The sequence below is a fragment of the Homo sapiens genome, chromosome 6, assembly GCF_000001405.40.
Source record: "Homo sapiens chromosome 6, GRCh38.p14 Primary Assembly".
Taxonomy (NCBI): Eukaryota; Metazoa; Chordata; class Mammalia; order Primates; family Hominidae; genus Homo; species Homo sapiens.
The window spans coordinates 22,032,813-22,053,202 of record NC_000006.12 but is presented as its reverse complement, the minus strand read 5'-3'; the positions used below and the strand labels follow the sequence as shown (position 1 = coordinate 22,053,202).

Sequence of the window (20,390 nt, the reverse complement as noted above, 5' to 3'; positions counted from 1 at the left end):
AAAAAGATAAACTATCCCATGTAATTTTCACAAGGATAGTGGACATTATAAATTACAGCCATAAAACTCTAGTCCTTTGTAACTTATGTGGTATTTCCTTTAGTTCTACTCTTTCATCTTTCCCAAGATTTGTTTTTCCATCCTGAGTGCTTCAAGCTAAAGAAAAAGATGACACAGGGACACCTATGTATATAGACACAAAATCTCTCACTTTCTCCAAACATTTAGGGTCACTATGCTCAGCTGAAACATTAAATTCCTGGAAAGGTACACAGAGAGCTGGTCCTAACCATTCCAAATGACTAAAATCTACTTTCTCGCTATGCCTTGAGTTATATTTTACAACTACAGTCTTGAAAATTGTGGACTACTTATAATTAATGAGAAAATATGAGAGGCTTGGAAGTAAATACACACACATAAAAATATTTTCTAAGTCAACTAAAGCCAAAGTCAAGGCTCTTAGGGAGCCACCAGTTACTAATGTGTCAGGCTCCAAAGCAGCACTGGAGAGTGGCTGTGGAGTCAGAGGACCTGGACTGGAACCCACACCAGCTTTGGGACCTTGGCAAGTTATGAATCTTCTTGTGCCTTAACCTCTTCATCTTTAAATGAAAAAAAAAAAAACAAAAAGGTGCCTTCCTCACAACGGTATTATGAAGAGTGAAAAATCAATGCAGGTAAGCAAATAGAAGCATATGTGGCATGCATTAAGAATTTAATAATGGTTAGAGTTAATATTACAGAATCACCTTCATATGTCCTTGTCTTTTAAGTTATTTCATTAGTAGGACATTCCAGAAGATGAGAAAATACTTCTCCTGAGCCAATCTCTGCCATAAACTCACTGCCATTTGGGGCACATGTCGTAGAAGGAAGTATAACAAACCTGATCCTGGAGTATTATGTTCCAATCAGACAAGAAATCATAGAAGGCATGAGAAATAATAATTCCGTTAACTACACTTAAATTGGTTTTGCTGACATCCATATGAATGCACACACAAAAAAAAACCTTTTAGAGCCACATATAACAGAGTAATCAAGGAATGTGCTATGCTGCTTATTAGCAAGATGTTTGGGCCCAGGTGACTTGCCACTCTGAGCCAGCTTCCTTATCTGTCCAATGGCAATAGTCATTATCACAATCATTGTAATTAGTCCATTCTCACACTGCTAATAAAGACATACCCAAGACTGGGTAATTTATAACAGAAAGAAGTTTAATGGATTCACAGTTCCACATGGCTGGGGAGGCCTCACAATCATGGCAGAAGATGAAGGAAGAGCAAAGGATGTCTTACATGGCAGTAGGCAAAGAGAGAATGAGAGCCAAGGGAAAGGGGAAACCCCTTATAAAACCATCAGATCTCGTGAGACTTATTCACTACCATGAGAACAATATGTGGGAAATCACCTCCATGATTCAATTATTTCCCAGTGGGTCCTTCCCACCACACAAGGGAATTATGGGAGCTACAATTCAAGATAAGATTTGGGTGAGGACACAGCCAAACCATGTCAATCATCTTCACTATACCTAATGCTATTGGTAAACCTAAAATGAGACAGTATGTACGAAAGCACCTAATAGATGGTTCATCCATGTTACCTTTACATTTTTATTCCTCCTGATTCCTGTGTAACTCTGTGGGCTTGCTGTGACTCTCTTCAGTTTTCCAAGAGACTCTCTTTACTTTCTCTCCCACCTAGATTAGATTGGGTCTAAGGGGAAAAAAAAAATACTAAAAAAGCGAAACAACTTCTTGTTTCTGAAAAAGCCAATCAAACATTTCTAATGGATAAGTTCTCTATTTGGTAAATCAAGAAAATCTATCATAATAAGTATGTGAAGAGGCCGAGTAAGAGTAGATCATTACCACAAAACTATACAAAGATGACAGATTATGGAATATGCAATGTTAGGATCAAGTTTGCTGTAAAGAGAACAAATAGTGACCTCTTTGCCTGAGTTTGGACTTAGCACACAAAGGGAAATAAAGGTACGATATGAATGCTGATTTTTCACTTTGGAAACAGATGGTGAGCAATGTCTATGAACACTGGATTATACATCCTCCTAGATATTTCTACAGGATTAGATAAGACCAAAAAACATTATATTGAGCATAAAAGTAATCCAATAAAAATCCAATTTTATGTTCTCTCTCCTCTTCATACCTGAACAACTTATTAAAATTAAAGAATGGACACCAATCTCAAAAATTTGTGTGTAGCCCTTTTTATTTGTTAAATTTAAAATAGCTTATTTGTATCCCAAATATTTAAAAGTATCCTTATGGGCCAGACACAGTGGCTCACGCCTGTAATTCCAGCACTTTGGGAGGCCAAGGCAGGCAGATCACAAGGTCAGGAGATAGAGAACATCCTGACAACACGGTGAAACCCTGACTCTACTAAAAATACAAAAATTAGCCAGGCGTGGTGGCAAGCGCCTGTAGACCCAGCTACTCGGGAGGCTGAGGCAGGAAAATCACTTGAACCCAGGAGGTAGAGCTTGCAGTGAGCCAAGATCGCACCACTGCACTCCAGCCTGGGCAACAGAACGAGCCGTCTCAAAAAAAAAAAAAAAGTATCCTTGTGGTCAAAGTGTTTCGATAATAAATAATAGGAAAAGAAGAATTCACCATCTAAATAGATGACAAGGAAAGGGAGAAATGCTTGAATTCCAAATAGCCTGTTTACACGCTGCAAATTCAAATTAGCCACCATAATTAGTTCAAGAAATAGAACTACATTCCTGACCCTAAAAGATATCACATGGTATCACAGATGAAAACAAAAGTCAATATATTTATACACATTTTACCCTTTAAGAGCCTAGGTTTCAGAGGCATGATGTGATTTGACAAAATTCACATTGCTAATAAATGAAGCACCGGAATTTGAACCCAGAGTTTTCTAAATCTAGTGTCTCCCCTCCCCTTCATAGAATGCCTCCTCTCAGAGTACACATCTGACAAAGGACTGGGTGTGGAGGCCATTATTGAAAAGACAGATTGGAGTCAACTAGTAGAGATGAGATCACCGGGCCTCTGCTTTTTAGCCTGTAGACGCACGGAACCATTAAAACTGTTTATGAGGAAAATAACATGTCAAACAGGAACAGAAATATTATCTGTATAGACGGATAAAATTTAGGAAAAGAACTGAAGACTTTTTCCCTCTTACAGGGGTTTCTGGTCAGATAGTGATCTGTTTGATTAATAGATTCAGATACATTGTTCAATGTAAGAGTTGTCAAGTCACTCTTTCCAACTTTCCAAAATTTCCAGGATACATCATATTTATAATACAATCTCCTGTATGCAGACATCATCTCCCACAAAAAAAAACCCACTCTCCCATACTGTGAAAATCCAAGATCAGTTTTAATGAAACCCACTAAATGCACCAAAAAAGTAAACTATAATCATACTGATAGTTACAATTTTACTCTCAGAAAAAAATGCATGGTACTCCTCATCTTCTTCAATACAATCCATAAAAACAGATTCATGGATAACTAAACTCCACAATATCCTCTAAGGAAATGAACTATTTCAGGTGGGAGGCAATACTGATGAGTAAAAAACACTTCCTGGTTCCTCAATCCAAGCATTCACTTAAAAAGTATACTTGTTTCTACATAGGTGGAAAGTTGAAGCAGTTTTTAAAAAAAAAAAAAAAAACAGTGAGCCCTAGTTATGACATAGTAATAATATGTGCCGTCCTTTGACAAGTATAAAATATAATATTCTGGCTTATGCCAATTTGGCATGTAAAAGGATAACCTAGAACATCACCATCAAAAAATACAAATGCCTAGCTAGCAATCCAGGTCAGAAAAAATGTAAAAGAAAAAGCTGTCACATGATGTTAGGTATAAAGCAGTATAAAAATGATTAACTCCAGAAATGGTGTTTATGTTGGAAAGGTATACAAGGTTATAAACAAGTTTTATTCAGTTGGTTCCATACCAATGCAAAGCTTCATGCCTTAAATGGCTTCATGTATTGCTCATCAGGAGCCAGTTACAGGTCTACAAATATGTTTATTTTAAAACAAGAACAAGGACAGTCTGGCTCATTGTTTGTTCATCTTTCTAGAAAACAAGTTTCCATATAAATCTTTCTAAGGGAACACATCTACCTTCTAACTATAGTTTTGTTGGCTTTCATAAGCCCCTAGATATTTTTTCCTACATTTCTTCTGAAAAGAATACACAAACTACCAACAGAGGCTTATGTTAAAGAGAAGCAACTAAACACTTGCTAAGTTTGAGAGATGGGTATTAGAAGGACAAATACAATTCTGTCTTCAGAGAATACCTACATACATTCTGATCTCATGATCCCATTTTTAAAGCTTCCAAAAGAAGTGAGTCCAAAAGCAACATCTATTCTTGAACTCAGCTTAGAAGATTTTTTTGTTTGTTTGTTACAGAGTCTCCTTTCCAAAGATCGGATGAAAGACATGATAAAAAGACATGTCTTGACCAGGTGTGGTGGTTCACACCTGTAATACCAGCACTTTGGGAGGCCGAGGTGGGCGGATCACCTGAGGTCAGGAGTTCGAGACCAGCCTGGCCAACATGATGAAACCCAGTTACTACTAAAAGTACAAAAATTAGTCAGGCATGGTGGCGGGCACCTGTAATCCCAGCTACTCGGGAGGCTGAGGCAGGAGAATTGCTTGAAAGTGGGAGGCAGAGGCTTCAGTGAGCTGAGATCATACCACTGTATTCCAGCCTGGGCAACAGAGCAAGACTCCCTCTCAAAAAAAAAAAAAAAAGACACGTTTACTTCAGTTTCTTCAGTTGCTTTCATGAGGAAACTGGCCCTTACCATTCTCCTTCACAGGAGAGGGGAGAATAGTCAGTCTTGAAAAACTATGTGCTTTGGGTATTGAGCACGTCAATGAAAATGAGCAGTCTTGAATAACATAAGATATTCTTTAGGTTACAAAAGACGCAAATATTATAATCCCTAATCAGACAACTAAACTATGGACAGTTGTATGGGACTGAAAGACGCAGAATCACGATGCTGTTGTGTTAATTCAGTCATGTTAATTCAGTCCAATTTTATAAATAAGAATCTGAAGTACATAGACATCAAGTAACTTTACCACATTTACTCAGTTGCAAAGCCAAAAAGAGATCTCCAATCTTGACTCCTGATGAAATTTTTCATTATGTCACTGGAATGAATTTTTAAACTATGCCTACAATTTTTACCCTGACCACTAATTCACTTCTTTCTCACGGCTGGAAGTTAATAAATTGCTTTCAGAATTGATCAAGGGTTCGAATATTGCAGAGTATGTGCTCAGGGCTGGGCCAGGAGCAAGGCCTAGGAGAGATGAGGACACTGGTTGTTGTGATAGAGTGGGGCCCCTACAGGGAGAAGTGCCATGTGTAATGCACCATGGGCGCACACACTAAGGAAAGGAATAGTCATTCCATACTAGTTTCAACAAAAAACAGCTGAGAGAGCAATGAGAAAAAATGTAAAAGAAAACTCTCATTCTTTAATAAAGTGAAGGCAAAAAAAAAAAAAAAAAAAGAGCGGCCGGGTGCAGTGGCTTACGCCTGTAATCCCAGCACTTTGGGAGGCCAAGGGGGGTGGATCACGAGGTCAGGAATTACTGGTGATCAGCCATGGTTTGCCAACATGGTGAAACCCCATATCTACTAAAAATACAAAAATTAGCTGGGTGTGGTGGCATGTACCTGTAATCCCAGCTATTCAGGAGGCTGAGGCAGAAGACATGCTTGAACGTGGGAGGTGGAGGTTGCAGTGAGCCGAGATCGCGCCACTGCATTCCAGCCTGGGCAACAGAGCAACACTCCATCTCAAAAAAAAAAAAAAAAAGAAGCAACACTATTAGGAAAGACTTACTCCTGCTACATTAGAACAAGGCAAGGATGATGGAAGATACAGAAAGCTTTCCTTTATCTAAGTTCCAGGCAGAACTAGATAGAACAGAAACCTGGAGCAGAGCTATTGCCAAAGCCCTGAGCTCAGGTTAAAGGAAACTGTCACCGTTCCATTTCTCCTTTGAGTTTCAAATTTGGTTTCCCAGTGTGCCACTGTAAAAGAGTCCAGTACTGGGGAGAAAACAAATTCCCAGCTCCCACAACTTACAACAATTGAAACTAGTTATTTAGGATTCCCAGAAAGGATTAAAAAAAAAAACTCATTTGTTTATCCTTGCAGGTCAGTTAGGTTAATAACCTCAATTGACCACCATGAATGAAAAAAGTTAAGGAAGAAGAAAACAAATATGGATTTTGCATTTATTGTTTTTGTCTTACCAATTGCAATTTGGGGGCCTTGAGGCAATTGTAGCTGATGGAGGTTAAACAAGGCAGATTGTTGGTTTACGGCCCATTCTTGGCAATTTGGAAGTAAACGATAACCAATATTTACTCAGGCTGCTAGTTATATATGCTTCCTCCTCCTCTCTATCAGATGACACAAAGTAGTGAGCACCACATGGAGAGTGCCCCAAAATTTACAAATCGTCACATATATCGTATCTCATCTAATACAACAACCAACAAGACTAAAGTGTTCTTTCATCATGTGACAAATGATAAAGGGAGAACTCAGGGAGTTACAAAAATTTCCCAGTGCTCACCAGGTAACTGGAAGAGGCTGGATTGTAACGCAGAGTTTCTGACACCAAGTGCCCTGAGCCACGTGTACTCATTTAATATCTTATCTCTCATTCTCCTTTCCTTTGCTCACATGTAAAGAGCTGAGCAGAAGAGGTTTTTGAATGTTGGGTTTTAGGAGGATTTGTGGATTTCAACTCTCCGTGTTCTTCCTATGCCCAGATTATTATCAATAACATAGAGTTGGCATTATATGATCTTTTGGGTCTCTGGAGAGAAAAACCAATAAGGAAATAAATAACCAATTTATTTCCAACAAATTGGTTGGAAATAAAACAAATATAGGCTTAGCATACATTTGGCAGGGTTGGGGAGGGGGTGGTGGGCAAGGAAAGTCTAATAGTCTTCTCTTTCTTGGTTCTGGAGCTAAGAGTATCAAATCTCCAGTGGGAAAGTCAAACCTACTTTCCAGTCAAATAATGAAGCCTTCCATGTTAACCCCTACACAAGAGGTGCAAAGAGAATGTATACAGGGATCCTTTTATGGATGTTCTGGAAAGACAACACCTGTTCTTTGGGCCCTAGTGCCTTTGGTTACACCCAGGTTTTAAGGGGATGAATATAAATCATTTTGGAAGATTAAAAGAAACCCAAAAATTATAATATTCTTTTGCCTCCCAAGAGAAACAATCTTCAGATAATTGGGATTTGATGAGAGTGGTGGAGCTATGCAAATCTTATGCCATTATGAGCATGCAATAATTCAGACTGTTAAAATTACGAAGCAATCCCTTTGCTGTGTGATTCAGAAGGCTCGGCTCCCTACCTTCAGATTAAAATGAAGACTGAAAGACTAAACTTCAACTATGTCTGAATGTCTGTGGGCTGTTTTCCCCACAACTAACAACATTATTTAAACTCCCAACTTTTAAACTGCTAAAACCATGGAAACATTAATAATGGCCCTCCTTCATTAAACCTCAACTTCCCCTCCCACTTGTACTTTTGACCAATTTATTCACTTCAAAGCAAGCAACAGCATCCTGTTCAGTTACTCAGTAGGACCTCTGTACCTTCACCCAACACCTTACACCAAAAGAACACCAAAACCCACAAAAAAAGTCATGATCTCTACACTCCTCCTAGTCTATTGAAGGCAATTATGTAACCTCAAAGTTTTTGCTTTTATTTTTTATTTTTTCAGTTGCCATGGGAAAGACTGTTTGGGCAGCTCCATCTGCACAGGGTAATTACTGGCCTCCCAAAACGCACTCACTCTCACACACACACACACACACATACACACACACACACACACACACACAAAACCTGCAATGATATAAAGAAAAGGTAAACATAATTTTAAACATTTTCAAAGAGGCCAAGAAGGCATTAAACAATCAATATATTACTTTGCTACTGGCAGAAATAAACAAAACAGCCATTTACTGTCAAGAAAACAGCATTTTCAGAGCTGAAGTAGTAATAATAGCAATTAATATTTCCTCAGAATTTAATATTTGTCAGGTACTGTGGACTAAGTATTTTACACAGATTATCTTAATAATCTCCATAAATATAAATCTACAATTCCCATTTTTACAGAAAATAAATGAGGTTAAGAGAGGCTGAGTCACTTGCACAGGGCTGATTAGTAGTGGAGCCAGGATTCAAACCCAAAGCCCACAGTCTTGGTGCTCTCACTGTGCCTCATGGTGCCTGCCTGCCCACAGCCTGTGTTATCATCACAGCTCGCTTCTGGTCTGGTCTAATGACCTGTTGAAGGAACTCAAATGATCACTCATCTCATCTACTGAAACTAAGAATAATTCAAAATATTTTGGGGTGTCAAAATGCATATGGCCAGCCTGAGCTGAGAACCTGTCTCTACAAAAAAAATAGATTTAAAAAATTAGCCAGGCACAGTATTGCATGCCTGTAGTCCCAGCTACTCAAGAAACTGAAGTGGGAGGATCACTTGAGCAGCTGGGAGATCAAGGCTGCAGTGAGCCATGATTGCACTGCTGTACTTCAGCATTCCAACGTGGGCGACAGAAAGAGACCCTGTCTTAAAAAAAAAAAAAAAGAAAAAAAATGCATTTGACCACAGGCTGCACCAGTAACAATGATCTTATTTCAGTATCTACGGTACAATATAAGTATGCATATGTGACATTCAAATACTGTGGCCTTTTCCATTTTCTTAATCAGTTTCAATTTCTCAGTGTTAACTCCTTAATTTAACACTTATCGATAAAAATGCTATCTGCTAATGTGTATTGTAACATTAATTTTGAGTTTTAGGAGATTTGTGAGTGTGGGGTAAGGAGAAGAGCTATTCAGCTCTCATCTATTTTATTTTATTTTATTTTATTTTATTTTATTTTATTATTCCCAAGAGAAGAAATATTTTTACTTTGGCTTCTTCATGAATTTAGGTAATTACTGAGATTCTTGCCATCTTTATATGCTGGATTTGATTCCCTGTGGTGGAAAATGCATACAGTTCCCAAAGAAATCTATGTTAATAGTATAGAGTTCAAATATTAAAAGAGATTAAGTGGTATCAGAAGCAAAGCCTTGGACCAGGCCACCAATCTCAATGGGTAGATCATTTAACAAGCCAACACATGCTAATAGAATCTTCTAAAGGGCTGGACACCTCTCACAAGGTCCCCCTACCCACCTTGACTCTGTTTATCAAGGGAGGAATCCCGACAGCATGGAGCCCCCAGGCCTCCCCTCCTCCATCAGCACAGCATGCCCGCAGTCACAAGCTGCCTGCGAGTTTGGTAAGACTCTGGCTCCAATCCCTTGGCCTCATCTGACCCGTCTTTCTGCCGTATCACTTATCTCCTGGAAAGGAACATGTTTCCAAGCTTCTTCCACATCAGCAGTAGGAAAGGAATTTGCAGTCTTTGAGTATTAAGTGACCTGGGTAGAAAAAAGTCTTAGAAGGGAGGTGAGACGGAGGGGTGGGGAAGTACAATGAGATACTTTTACTTTGCCAAATTCCCATCCCTTTTTGGCCGTAGGCAATGCCAGAAGAGAAAGCCAAAAGGAGGTAGGAGGGTAAGTGGAAACAGCTCCTCCTCTTCCCTTGCACTTCCTGGCTGGATATCTGTAAACATCTCTCTACCACCCTTCCCCAAGCAGGGAGCCTGGATATACACACACTTGCCTAACTGCTGGAGCCACACCATCCACATTAGCTACCTCTCTAAATCCCTGAGAAGCAGGTCAGGCACAGTGGCCAGGGTGGGGACAAGGTGGATCCACAGAAGGCCACCTGATGACCTTTCCATTAACAACCAGAGCTCTTGGTGCTGCCTCCCAGAGATGAGTAGGGGAGGTGTCTAGACAAAGAAGAAAATAAAAATGTTTTCTTCCTTCCCTTCCCTCAGTCATACTTTACATCTTCCTCTGGGCACTGCAGTAAAAAGAAGCAAGGAGGTGCACCTGGCCGGAGAGCAATCTCCAGGAAGCTAGATGAGCCATCCTGTGTGTGGGAATGAAAGGCAGACCAGAACAGAAAGCAGTGAGGTTGTGATTCCAAAATCCCAGCTCCCAAACCTGTGGCCAGAGCAGAGCCTGTAATTAAATGTGAACTTGCCAGTGGCTCTCTTAATACATGAGGCAAAAAGTTAATGTCTGATGGACTGGGGCCCATGCCAAACTCCAGCTCAGTTGCCTCCCCACAGGGGACTAGTTCAAAGAAATGAGATCTAGTGGTAGTGAACAAGCCAAGTAAGTTGCAGGGAGGCCCCAGCTCACAGGTCTGCCTTTGGACCCCCTCCTCTGGGCTTCCCTAATACTCTATGCACAGCTCCTCCCCAGGTACTCACAGCCATCATTCATCCTTTATTGATCTGTCCTGTCCATGAAGCAAAGTGGAGGGCTGCCCTTTTCTGGACTTTACGTGCTTGGTACCAAATACACTAGGTCTGCACTGTCTAATACAGTGGTCACTAGACACATGTGGCTCTTGAGTCCTTGAAATGTGATCAGTCCAAACTGAGATGTATCTCAAGTTTAAAACAGTGGATTTCACAGACTTACTATGAAAAATACAGTTAAATAGCTCATTAATTTTTATATTAATTAAATATTGAAATAATATTTTGGATATATTAGGTTAAATAAAGTGTGTTATTAAAATCAATTTCACCTAATTCTCTTCATTTTTTTTTTTTTAGCATGGCTACACATGTGGCTTATATTATATGTCTATTAGACAGTATTGTTCTGGGTATTCCATGAGGGAGGGAGGGAGGAAGGAAGGAAGCAAGGAAGGAAGAAGGAGGGGGAAGGAGAGGGAGGGAGGAAGGGAGGGGGGCGGGCAGGTGGGCAGGCAAGAGAGAGAAAGAGAGTGGGGAGAGGGATGAAGAAGGAACACCAAGAGAAAGAGAAAGTTGACTGGAGATCAGTATAAATGCTTTTAAATCAACATATAACAGAAATGGTTTTAAAGAAGTGAGGTTATTTTCAGAAATAATTTTTGTATCTGGAACTACATTTCATTCTGAATCATTTGCTGTGAGAAAATGCTTACTAATCATCCAGGACTCCTAAAGGATGAGAGAGCAACAGACTGTCGGCCAGGCCACATCACAGAGGCCAAACTGAATCTTCAGTCCTGTGGTAAAGACTCGGGAGAGCAGAAGGGAATTGTCACTTGGAGATAAAACAATGAATCTGGAAACCCCACAGTTTTCCAAACTTCTCTTTATCCTAAATGTAACAATTCCCTCAGTTCAGCTGATTAAATATATTCTTTAAAACTGTTTTTAAAAATGCACAACCTTCCACCAAACATTTAAAGAAGTAAGCCAGGCGCAGTGGCTCACACCTATAATCCCAGCACTTTGGGAAACTGAGGCAGGTGGATCACCTGAGGTCAGGTGTTTAAGACCAGCCTGGCCAACATGATGAAACCCTGTCTCTACTAAAAAAAATACAAAAAATAGCTGGGCATGGTGGCACATGCCTGTAATCCCAGCTACTTGGGAGGCTGAGGCAGGAGAATCACTTGAACCTGAGAGGCAGAGGTTGCAATGAGCTGAGATTGCACCATTGCACTCCAGCCTGGACAACAAGAGTGAAACTCCGTCTCAAAAAATAAAAATAAAAATAAAGAATTAACACCAATCTTTCTCAAACTCTTTCAAAATACTGAAGAAGATAAAACACGTTTTGTTTGTTTGTTTGTTTTTTGAGACTGAGTCTTACTCTGTTGCCCAGGCTGGAGTACAGTGGCGCAATCTTGGCTCACTGCAGCTTCTGCCTCCTGGGTTCGAGTGATTCTCCTGCCTCAGTAGCTGGGACTACCAATACACACCACCATGCCCAGCTGATTTTTGTATTTTTAGTAGAGATGGGGTTTCACCATGTTGGCCAGGCTGGTCTTGAACTCCTGACCTCAGGTGATCCATCCACCTCAGCCTTCCAAAGTCCTGGGATTACAGGCATGAGCCACTGCACCCGGCTGATAAAACACTTTTTAATTCATTCTATGAGGCCAGTATTACCGTGATAGCAAAGCCAGAAAAAGAAAGAAAACTATAGACCAATATCCCTTATAAACACTGATGTAAAAACTGTCAACAAAATACTAGCCATCTGAGTTCAGCAGAATATTAAAAGAATTATACACCACAACCAAATGAGATTTAGTCCCGAAATGCAAGGATGGTTTAACATAGAAAAATTGATATAATATATAATGTTAACAGAATGAAAGACTAAAACCACATGATCATCTCAATGTGGTTGATTCAGAAAAAGGACTTGACAAAATTCAATACCCTTTCATGTTGAAAATACTCAACATACTAGAAAGAAATCTACCTCAATATAATAAAATCCATATATGAAAAAACCCATAGCCAACATCATAATGGTGAAAGACTAAAAGCATTTACTCTAAGATCAGAAATAAGGCAAGGATGCCTGCTTTCACCACTTCTATTCAACATGGTACAAGAAGCTCTAGCCAGAGCAATTAGGCAAGAAAACGAAATAAAGGCCATCCAAATTGGAAAGGAAAAATAAAACTATTTCTGTTTGCAAATGATCTGATCTTATCTCCGAAAGATCCCCCGATCCCGCACTCAAAAAATTGTTAGAGATAATAAATTCAATAAAGTAGCAGGATACAAAGCCAACATATAAAAGTAAGTTGCATTTATATATACTAACAATGAACAATCTGAAAAGGAAATTACAAAAATGGTTCCATTTATAATAGCATCAAAAACAATGAAATACTTAGGAATTAATCAAGGAGTTAAGAGACTTGTACAATAAAAACTTTCTGAAAGAAATTTAAAAAGACATAAATACATAAAAACACATACCATGTTCATGAATTAGAAAACTTCATACCGTTAAGATATAAATACCACCCAAAGCAATCTGTAGATTCAATGCAATCTCTATCAAAATCCCAATGACAATTTTTGCAGAAATAGAAAAATCCATTCGAAAATCCATAGGGACTCTCAAAGGACCCTGAATAGCCAAAAACAATCTTGAAAAAGAACAAAGCTGAAGGATTCACACTTCCTGACTTCAAAACTTACTACAAAGCTACAGTGATCAAAACATGGTGATACTAGCATAAAGACAGAGAGATGCACCAGCAGAACAGAAAACCCAGAAATAAAACCTCACATATATGGTCAAATGATTTTTGACAAGGATGCCGAGACCACTCAATGGGAAGGGGCAACATTTTCAACAAATGGTGCCAGGAAAATGAAATGTCCACATGCGAAAGAATGAAGTCAGACTTTACATAACACCATATACAAAAATTAACTCAAAATGGAACAAAGACCTAAGCATAAGACCTAAATCTATAAATCTCCTAGGAGAAAATGGGACAAAAGCTTCATGTCATTGAATGTGGCAGTTATTTCTTGGATATGATGCCAAAGGCATAAGCAACAAAAGGAAAAGAATAGATAAATTAGACTTCATTTAAAAATTTTAAAATTTTGCACATCAAAAGACAACAGAGTAAAAAGGCCACCCACAGAATGGGAGAAAATATTTGCAAATCATATTTCTGATAAGGGATTCATATTCAGAATACACAAATAACACCTAAAAATTCAACAACAACAAAACAAACAACCTAAGAAACAGGCAAGGGAACTGAATAGATATTTCTCCAAAGAAGATATACAAATGGCCAATAAGCACATGAAAAGATGCTCAACATCACTAATCACTAAGGAAATGCAATCAAAACTTCGAGATACCATCTCACGCCCATTTGAATGACTACTATCGAAAAATCAGAAAATAAATGTTGGTGAAAAGGTGGAAGAACTGGAGCCCTTGTGCACTGTTGGTTGGAATGTAAAATGGTACAGCCATTGTGGAAAACGGTATGGTAGTTCCTCAAAAAATTAGAAATACGATTACCATATAATCCAGTAGTTCCACTCCTGAGTATGTACCCAAAAGAATTGAAGCAGGCTCTTGAAGGGATATGAGTACACCCATGTTCATAGCAGCACTATTCACAAATACTAAATGTGAAAGCCACACAAGTGTCTGTCGATGGATAAACGGATAAGCAAAAATGTGGTATATATTAATACATACAATTGAATATGATTCAGCCTTAAAAAGGAATGAAATTCTGATACATGCTACAACAGGGATGATCCTTGAAGGCTAATTATGCTAAGTGAAATGAGCCAGTCACAAAAGAACAAATACTATATGACCCTACTTATACGAGACACCAAAAGTAGTCAAATTCATAGAGACAGAAAGTAGAATGGTGGTTTCCAGTGGCTGTGATGGGAGGCAGGCATGGGGAGTCAGAGTTCAATGGGTACAGCGTTTCAGTCTGGAAAGATCAAAAGTTCAAGAGATGGAGTATGGTGATGGTTGCAAAAAATGTGGAAGTTTGTAATGTCACAGAACCATAAACGTATAAACAGTTAAGATGGTAAGTTCTGTAGCAGGTATATTTTACCACAATTTTAAAGAAAGAAGAAAAAGACAAGGAGGAGGGGGAGAGGGAGGAGGAAACAGAAAACGGGGAGAAAAGGAGGAGAAGGAGAGGAGAGGAGGAAAAACGAGGAGAAAATGTGAGAACAGTGAGAGGAAGGGGAAGGAGGTGAGGAGCCAGGGGATTAGAATGGGGGGATTAGAATGGCCTTGGGGTCATGAGAATGGGAATTCACACATGTACCTCTATGACTGCCTGGAAATGCTGACAGAGCAGAGCCACTGCTCGCTAAATGTCTCTATGACAATATTTTATCTTCCAATACTTGTACAACCTTTTCATTTTGCCACTTGAATTTGTAGGGAGATTCAAAAAATAGACTGAGGGTGAGTACACAAATGAAAAAAAGACAAGGAGAATGTGTGTGTACATGCTCTATTTTTTGTAAAAATTATAATTTATTTCCATCCACCATCCATATACTTAGCCCCAACCTGTCCTTACCTTGGCCAAAGTCAAGAACAACACCAAACTTAGTAACACTGAGAGCAAGCATATGCTTTCACATGCTATAAATGTTATTTCTAAACTGATTTAACAGGATAATAGTAACAATAGATATTGTGTGGCAGGTATCTTGCAATCTACTGTAAAAATTACAATTTTTTTACAGCAGTTTTGTATTATTAACGCCATTTCACAGATGAGACAATGGAGGCTAATAATTTTATCCAAGGACATAAGGTAGATGAGATTTGAAACCCAGGTCTGGTTGACTGCTGGTAGTAAGGGCATATTTTGTAAATCAAGGCCATCTAAACAGGAGGAATATTGACAAATGAGAAGAAACAGAAGCGTCAATGGAGGTAAGAGCAAACAGAAACTCACGAGCTAACCCGACTGCCAAGACATGATAACTGCACTGCACATAATGTCTGAAACCTAATGTGGGTTTTTTTGTTTGTTTGTTTGCGTTTTTTTTTTTTTAACACAGAGTCTACTCTGTAGCCCAGGCTGGAGTGCAGTGGCATGATCTCAGCTCACTGCAACCTCCACCTCCTGGGTTCAAGCGATTCTCCTGCCTTAGCCTGCCAAGTAACTGGGATTACAGGCACACACCACCATGCCCAGCTAATTTTTGTATTTTTAGTAGAGACGGGGTTTCACCATGTTGGCCAGGCTGGTCTTAAACTCCTGACCTCGTGATCCACCCGCTTCGGCCTCCCAAAGTGCTGGGATTACAGGCGTGAGCCACCGCGCCTGGCCAACTTAATGTTTTAGGAGGGCTGAATGCCGTGTCCCATGTCCCTTGGAAAGTCTTTTTTTTTTTTTTTAATCTCTAAATCTCAGCCTTATAAACAAGAATCAAAAGAAAACGACTCAACCTAAGAAAGAGAAATTCTGGTTGGGCAAGAACTTTAATAATCTGCCTTCCTACATGGTCCTTTTCTCTAAGTTATATATTAAAGAAGTTACACAGGAAGAAGAAAAAATCAGAGGGTAAACAGAAAATTACTCCAGCAAATGTATTGACCTCTAACGAAGGATAATTTCCTCAAAAGTATTTATGCTTTCTAAAGTATTACACTTTATGTAAAAGTAAAGCTGCAGTATAGAAAGCAACATCAGAGAATTTGATTCTTAACATACAGCTGTCAGGGATGGTTTACCTGAACCCACATTGCAATCCTAGAGTGTAAGAGCAACTTGGTGAAAGGGGACAGAAAACTCCCTGTGGAGCCGCAGACTCTGGAATCTATTATACCCATTTCCAATCTCACCTAGAAATCCAGAAAAAAAGTCACTTTCAGACACATTACAGGATTCAAACTTTGCTTTCTTACGAGAAGGTTAGAACTATATGCACACTTTGCCATTTGCTCTGCTCTTCCATTTACAAGGTTTTTTTTTGGTTTTTTTTTTTTTTTTTGGTTTTTTTTTTCCTCACACACTTCTACAGTTGACAACAAAGCGTTCTTACACACAACACTGCCCACCCTCTCATCTTTCTATATCCATTTTTAAGTGCCTGGAAAACACAAGAAGGGGAAACAAAGGGCAAATGCCAGTCTGTGACCTCTGTCTGGACTTAGCCAAGCGTGATGTGTGAATCAGGTGTGCGGAATGGAAGTTTCCATGGCAACGAGACTGCCAGGCAGGCAGGGACTTCACACAGGCTTTCTACCAAGGTAATAGAAACAATGAGGCCACCTGAGGGACCTCAGCAAAGAGGGAGGCGGCAAAGTTCAGAGATCTCCAGCGACGGCAAGGACCTGGGTCTGCACTGACTTATTCCACACCCACACCCCCCTGCTTTTGATTCTGTCCTGCCAGCTCCTTGAGATAATCTCTCATCTCTCTTTTTGGAGGGGAAGGGAGGGATAAATTAGAGAAGTAATCTCTAAAGAGAATTGCTTATGAGAAAAATGTAGAGGGGTCTACAAGAGAAGAGTTTTCTTTACGTAGAAAAAAAGCAGCTCTGTGAGTCCAAACATTCAGCCACTTGAGAAAACTCTGTCTGACAGAAGCACTTAACATTTTCTCTAAGGTTCTTTGCTTTACCTTGCAACGTGCTCTTTGAGAACCCAGACCCTAATGAAAAGATCCTGAGCTATATTTTTGTTTTATGGATGTTTAAAATTATATTTGCTATAGATAGATACTTTAAAATTATTCTAAACGTGTAGAAACATGTATGTTTTTAAAAGAGTTGGCTTTTTTAGTCACATGACTTGGAGATAAAGTACACAACTTTCATGAAATCGAAGTTTATCTTGGTTAGCTAATTGAAAGAAGGTAATCTGAACGCTAGGGCTATGATGATATTATGGCTTTTCAAGCCATTTTCCTGACTTGAGACACACAGATGTTAAAAAGAACCAGAACAAGGCTTGTGTATTTGGAACCAAATCATGGAAGACAGCAAATTCCGCTTCTCCCTTCTCCACCATTTTTAGCTTTGCTCTGGAAGAGGCCTTTGGATTCCTCCAGAATGCTACTGCAGAGACTGAAGAAGAGAAAAGCACCTTACGCTATCGCACCTTATGCTATTGCACCTTATGCTATCAGCTAATGTCTCTACTTTAACAGACTGCAATAACTGTTGCAACAGTGAGCCCATCCTTCCCACTGCACCAGAGGAATTCTTCTAGGCTGCAAATTTGATCAAGTCACTCTCAGGCTCCCAACCTTTCCAACAGTTCCTCACTGTGCTCTGGGCAGTGAAGATCTCTTAACCATGGTTTCCACAACTACACACGATCTGGCCTCGGTAGATTTAAGCTAAGGTGTCCTTAGCTTCATCTTCCACCATTCCCCAACTTGCCCTTCGCATTCCAGGCAAATTCAACTACTTTTAATTCCCCAAATGTACCATTCCTCTCTCTTGCCTCGCCTTTTATGTTACAGATTTCTGTAAAGAACATTTAAATCTTTCCTGGTACCTCAGCTCTGCTATCACTTCCTCTAGGAAGCCTTAGCCCCTGGCACAATTTCACCCTTAAAGTCCTTCCTAGGGGTAGCCATAGCACCCTGGGCATCTCCCTACAGCCCTTACCACATGAGACTGCAACTGCCGGCTTTGCCTTTCTGATCCCTATCCAACTGGAACAGAAAGCAAGAAAAGGGCCTTGTTTACCTTTGTCTTAACTTGGGACCCAGCGCTTAGTAGATGGTCAGACAAGATTTACCAAAAATGAATGAATGAACAGAAAAGCAGGCAAATGGCCTCTGGTGTGGCCTGGCTGACCACAAAGAGCGCCGACCACATCTGGGCCAGAGCCTCACAGTCCAGTTCTGCTGCTTACCAGTTTTGTGGCTTCAGGAAAGTTCCTTAGCCTCAAAGAACCTCAGATTCCTACTTGCAAATTGGTGTAACAGCACAGCCCAAGATTATCACATGCATCCAATGAGATAGTGTTTGAAAAATTCTTTGAGAAAAAAAAAATTTTTTTTTTTTTTGAGACACAGTCTCACTCTGTCGCCCAGGCTACAGTGCAGTAAAGATCTTGGCTCAGTGCAACCTCAGCCTCCCGGGTTCAAGCGATTCTCCTGCCTCAGCCTCCCAAGTAGCTGGGACTACAGGTGTGCACCACCATGTCTGGCTAATTTTTGTATTTTTAGTAGAGATGGGGGTTTCATCATGTTGACCACAATGGTCTCGAACTCCTGACCTCAGGTGATCCGCCCACCTCAGGATTACAGGCATGAGCCACTGCATCCTGCCACTCTTTGAGAAAATTTTAATAAGTCTCTACATAGCAGCTCTTCCCAGTGGGAGGCTAAACAGGAGGGAGAAGAGAGAAGCTGGCATGGCTGCCACAGGGGCAGCAGCAGTCCTGAGGAAAACCACTCAGCAGGATCCAGCAAGCAGCTGTAGAAATTCATGGTCGGTGGCCATGCATAGCACCCATTGACTTCCTTCTAAGAAATAACTATGTCCTCCTCTTGCCCACCTAGACATCCTTGTTATATACCATTTCCCATGTATATACCCCATTCATTTCTACCAAGCATTATTACTAATAATAAAGGTTTTAGGGCTTTTGTTTACTCTCATTCCAATTGTTAAGTGCCCTCTCTTTCCTCATGCCCCATCTAGATCCTACCCATCCTCCTATATCTATAATAAATCTCCTCTGTACCTATAAAGCTGTCCTTGAGTCAATCAGCTCATACCCACTGTCTCCTTCTGATCTCCTAGTGCATTAGGGCCCATATTTCACTATTCCACACTTTATTCTTTAAGTATTTCACACATATATTTAATACCAGCTCCCCCTTCCTAAATGTGGGAGGATCTCACACAATCAGAGGAGCCAAGTCTAGAGAACTCGACCGTGGGTAAGTCTGGGTTATAAAGCATGGAGATTTGGCAGAGAAGGTGAGAGGCAAGAAGTGTGTAAGTCAGCAAATAACATTGATGAAGCCACCAAGAAAACAAAAATATACAATGAGGAAATTAGCTGCCTAACAGTTTCTGATGACATCAAGATTCTCCGTAGAAATGCAAATCTATCAGATACCAACTTATACCAGTCAGAATGGCTATTATTAAAAAGACAAAAAAGAAATGCTAGTGAGGCTGCAGAGAAAAAGGAACACTAATACACTGATGGTGAGAATGTAAATTAATTCAGCCACTATGGACAGCAATTTGGTGATTTCACGAAGAATTTAAAACAGAATTACCATTTGACCCAGCAGTCCCATTACTGGGTATAGACCCAAAGGAATAAGGAACATAAATCATTTCACCAAAAAGACACATGCACTTATATGGTCATCTCAGTGCTGTTCACAATAGTAAAGCCATGGAATCAACCTAGGAGCCTGTCAATAGTGGATTGGATAAAGAAAATATGGTACATATATACCATGGAATACTATGCAGCCATAAAAAAAGGAATGAAACCATATCCTTTGCAGCAGTATGGATGCAGCTGGAGGCCATTATCATCATCAAATTAACATAGTAACAGAAAACCAAATACTGCATGTTCTCATTTATAAGTGAGAGCTAAACATTGAGTATACATGGACATAAAGATGAGAACAATAGACACCACAGACTTTCTAGAGTTGGTGGTGGGGGTGGGAGTGGGAGGAGTGAGGAGACACGGACTAAAAAACTACCTATTAGGTACTGTGTTCACTATCTGGTGGCAGGATCGTCCATACCCCAAATCTCAGCAGCACACAATATACCCATATAGCAAACCTCCACATGTACCTCCTGAATCTAAAATAAAAGTTGAAATTATTTAAAAAAAAAAAAAAAAAGATTCTCTGGTAGTTGAA

At 39.8% G+C, this 20,390-nt stretch overlaps 1 long non-coding RNA gene across 1 annotated transcript in view, besides 1 other annotated feature; it reads right to left on the bottom strand.

Annotated features, from left to right (window-relative positions):
• Nucleotides 1-20,390, bottom strand: part of CASC15 (cancer susceptibility 15) — a 529,408-nt gene that overhangs the window by 142,618 nt on the left and 366,400 nt on the right. The gene's annotated exons all lie outside the window — the stretch shown is intronic.
• Nucleotides 15,474-15,583: an enhancer, noted in NCBI's record as "active region_24148". NCBI's record gives its function as "activates an Ori minimal core promoter by ATAC-STARR-seq in GM12878 lymphoblastoid cells {active_cell/tissue: GM12878}" and the evidence as "EXISTENCE:reporter gene assay evidence [ECO:0000049][PMID:35858748]".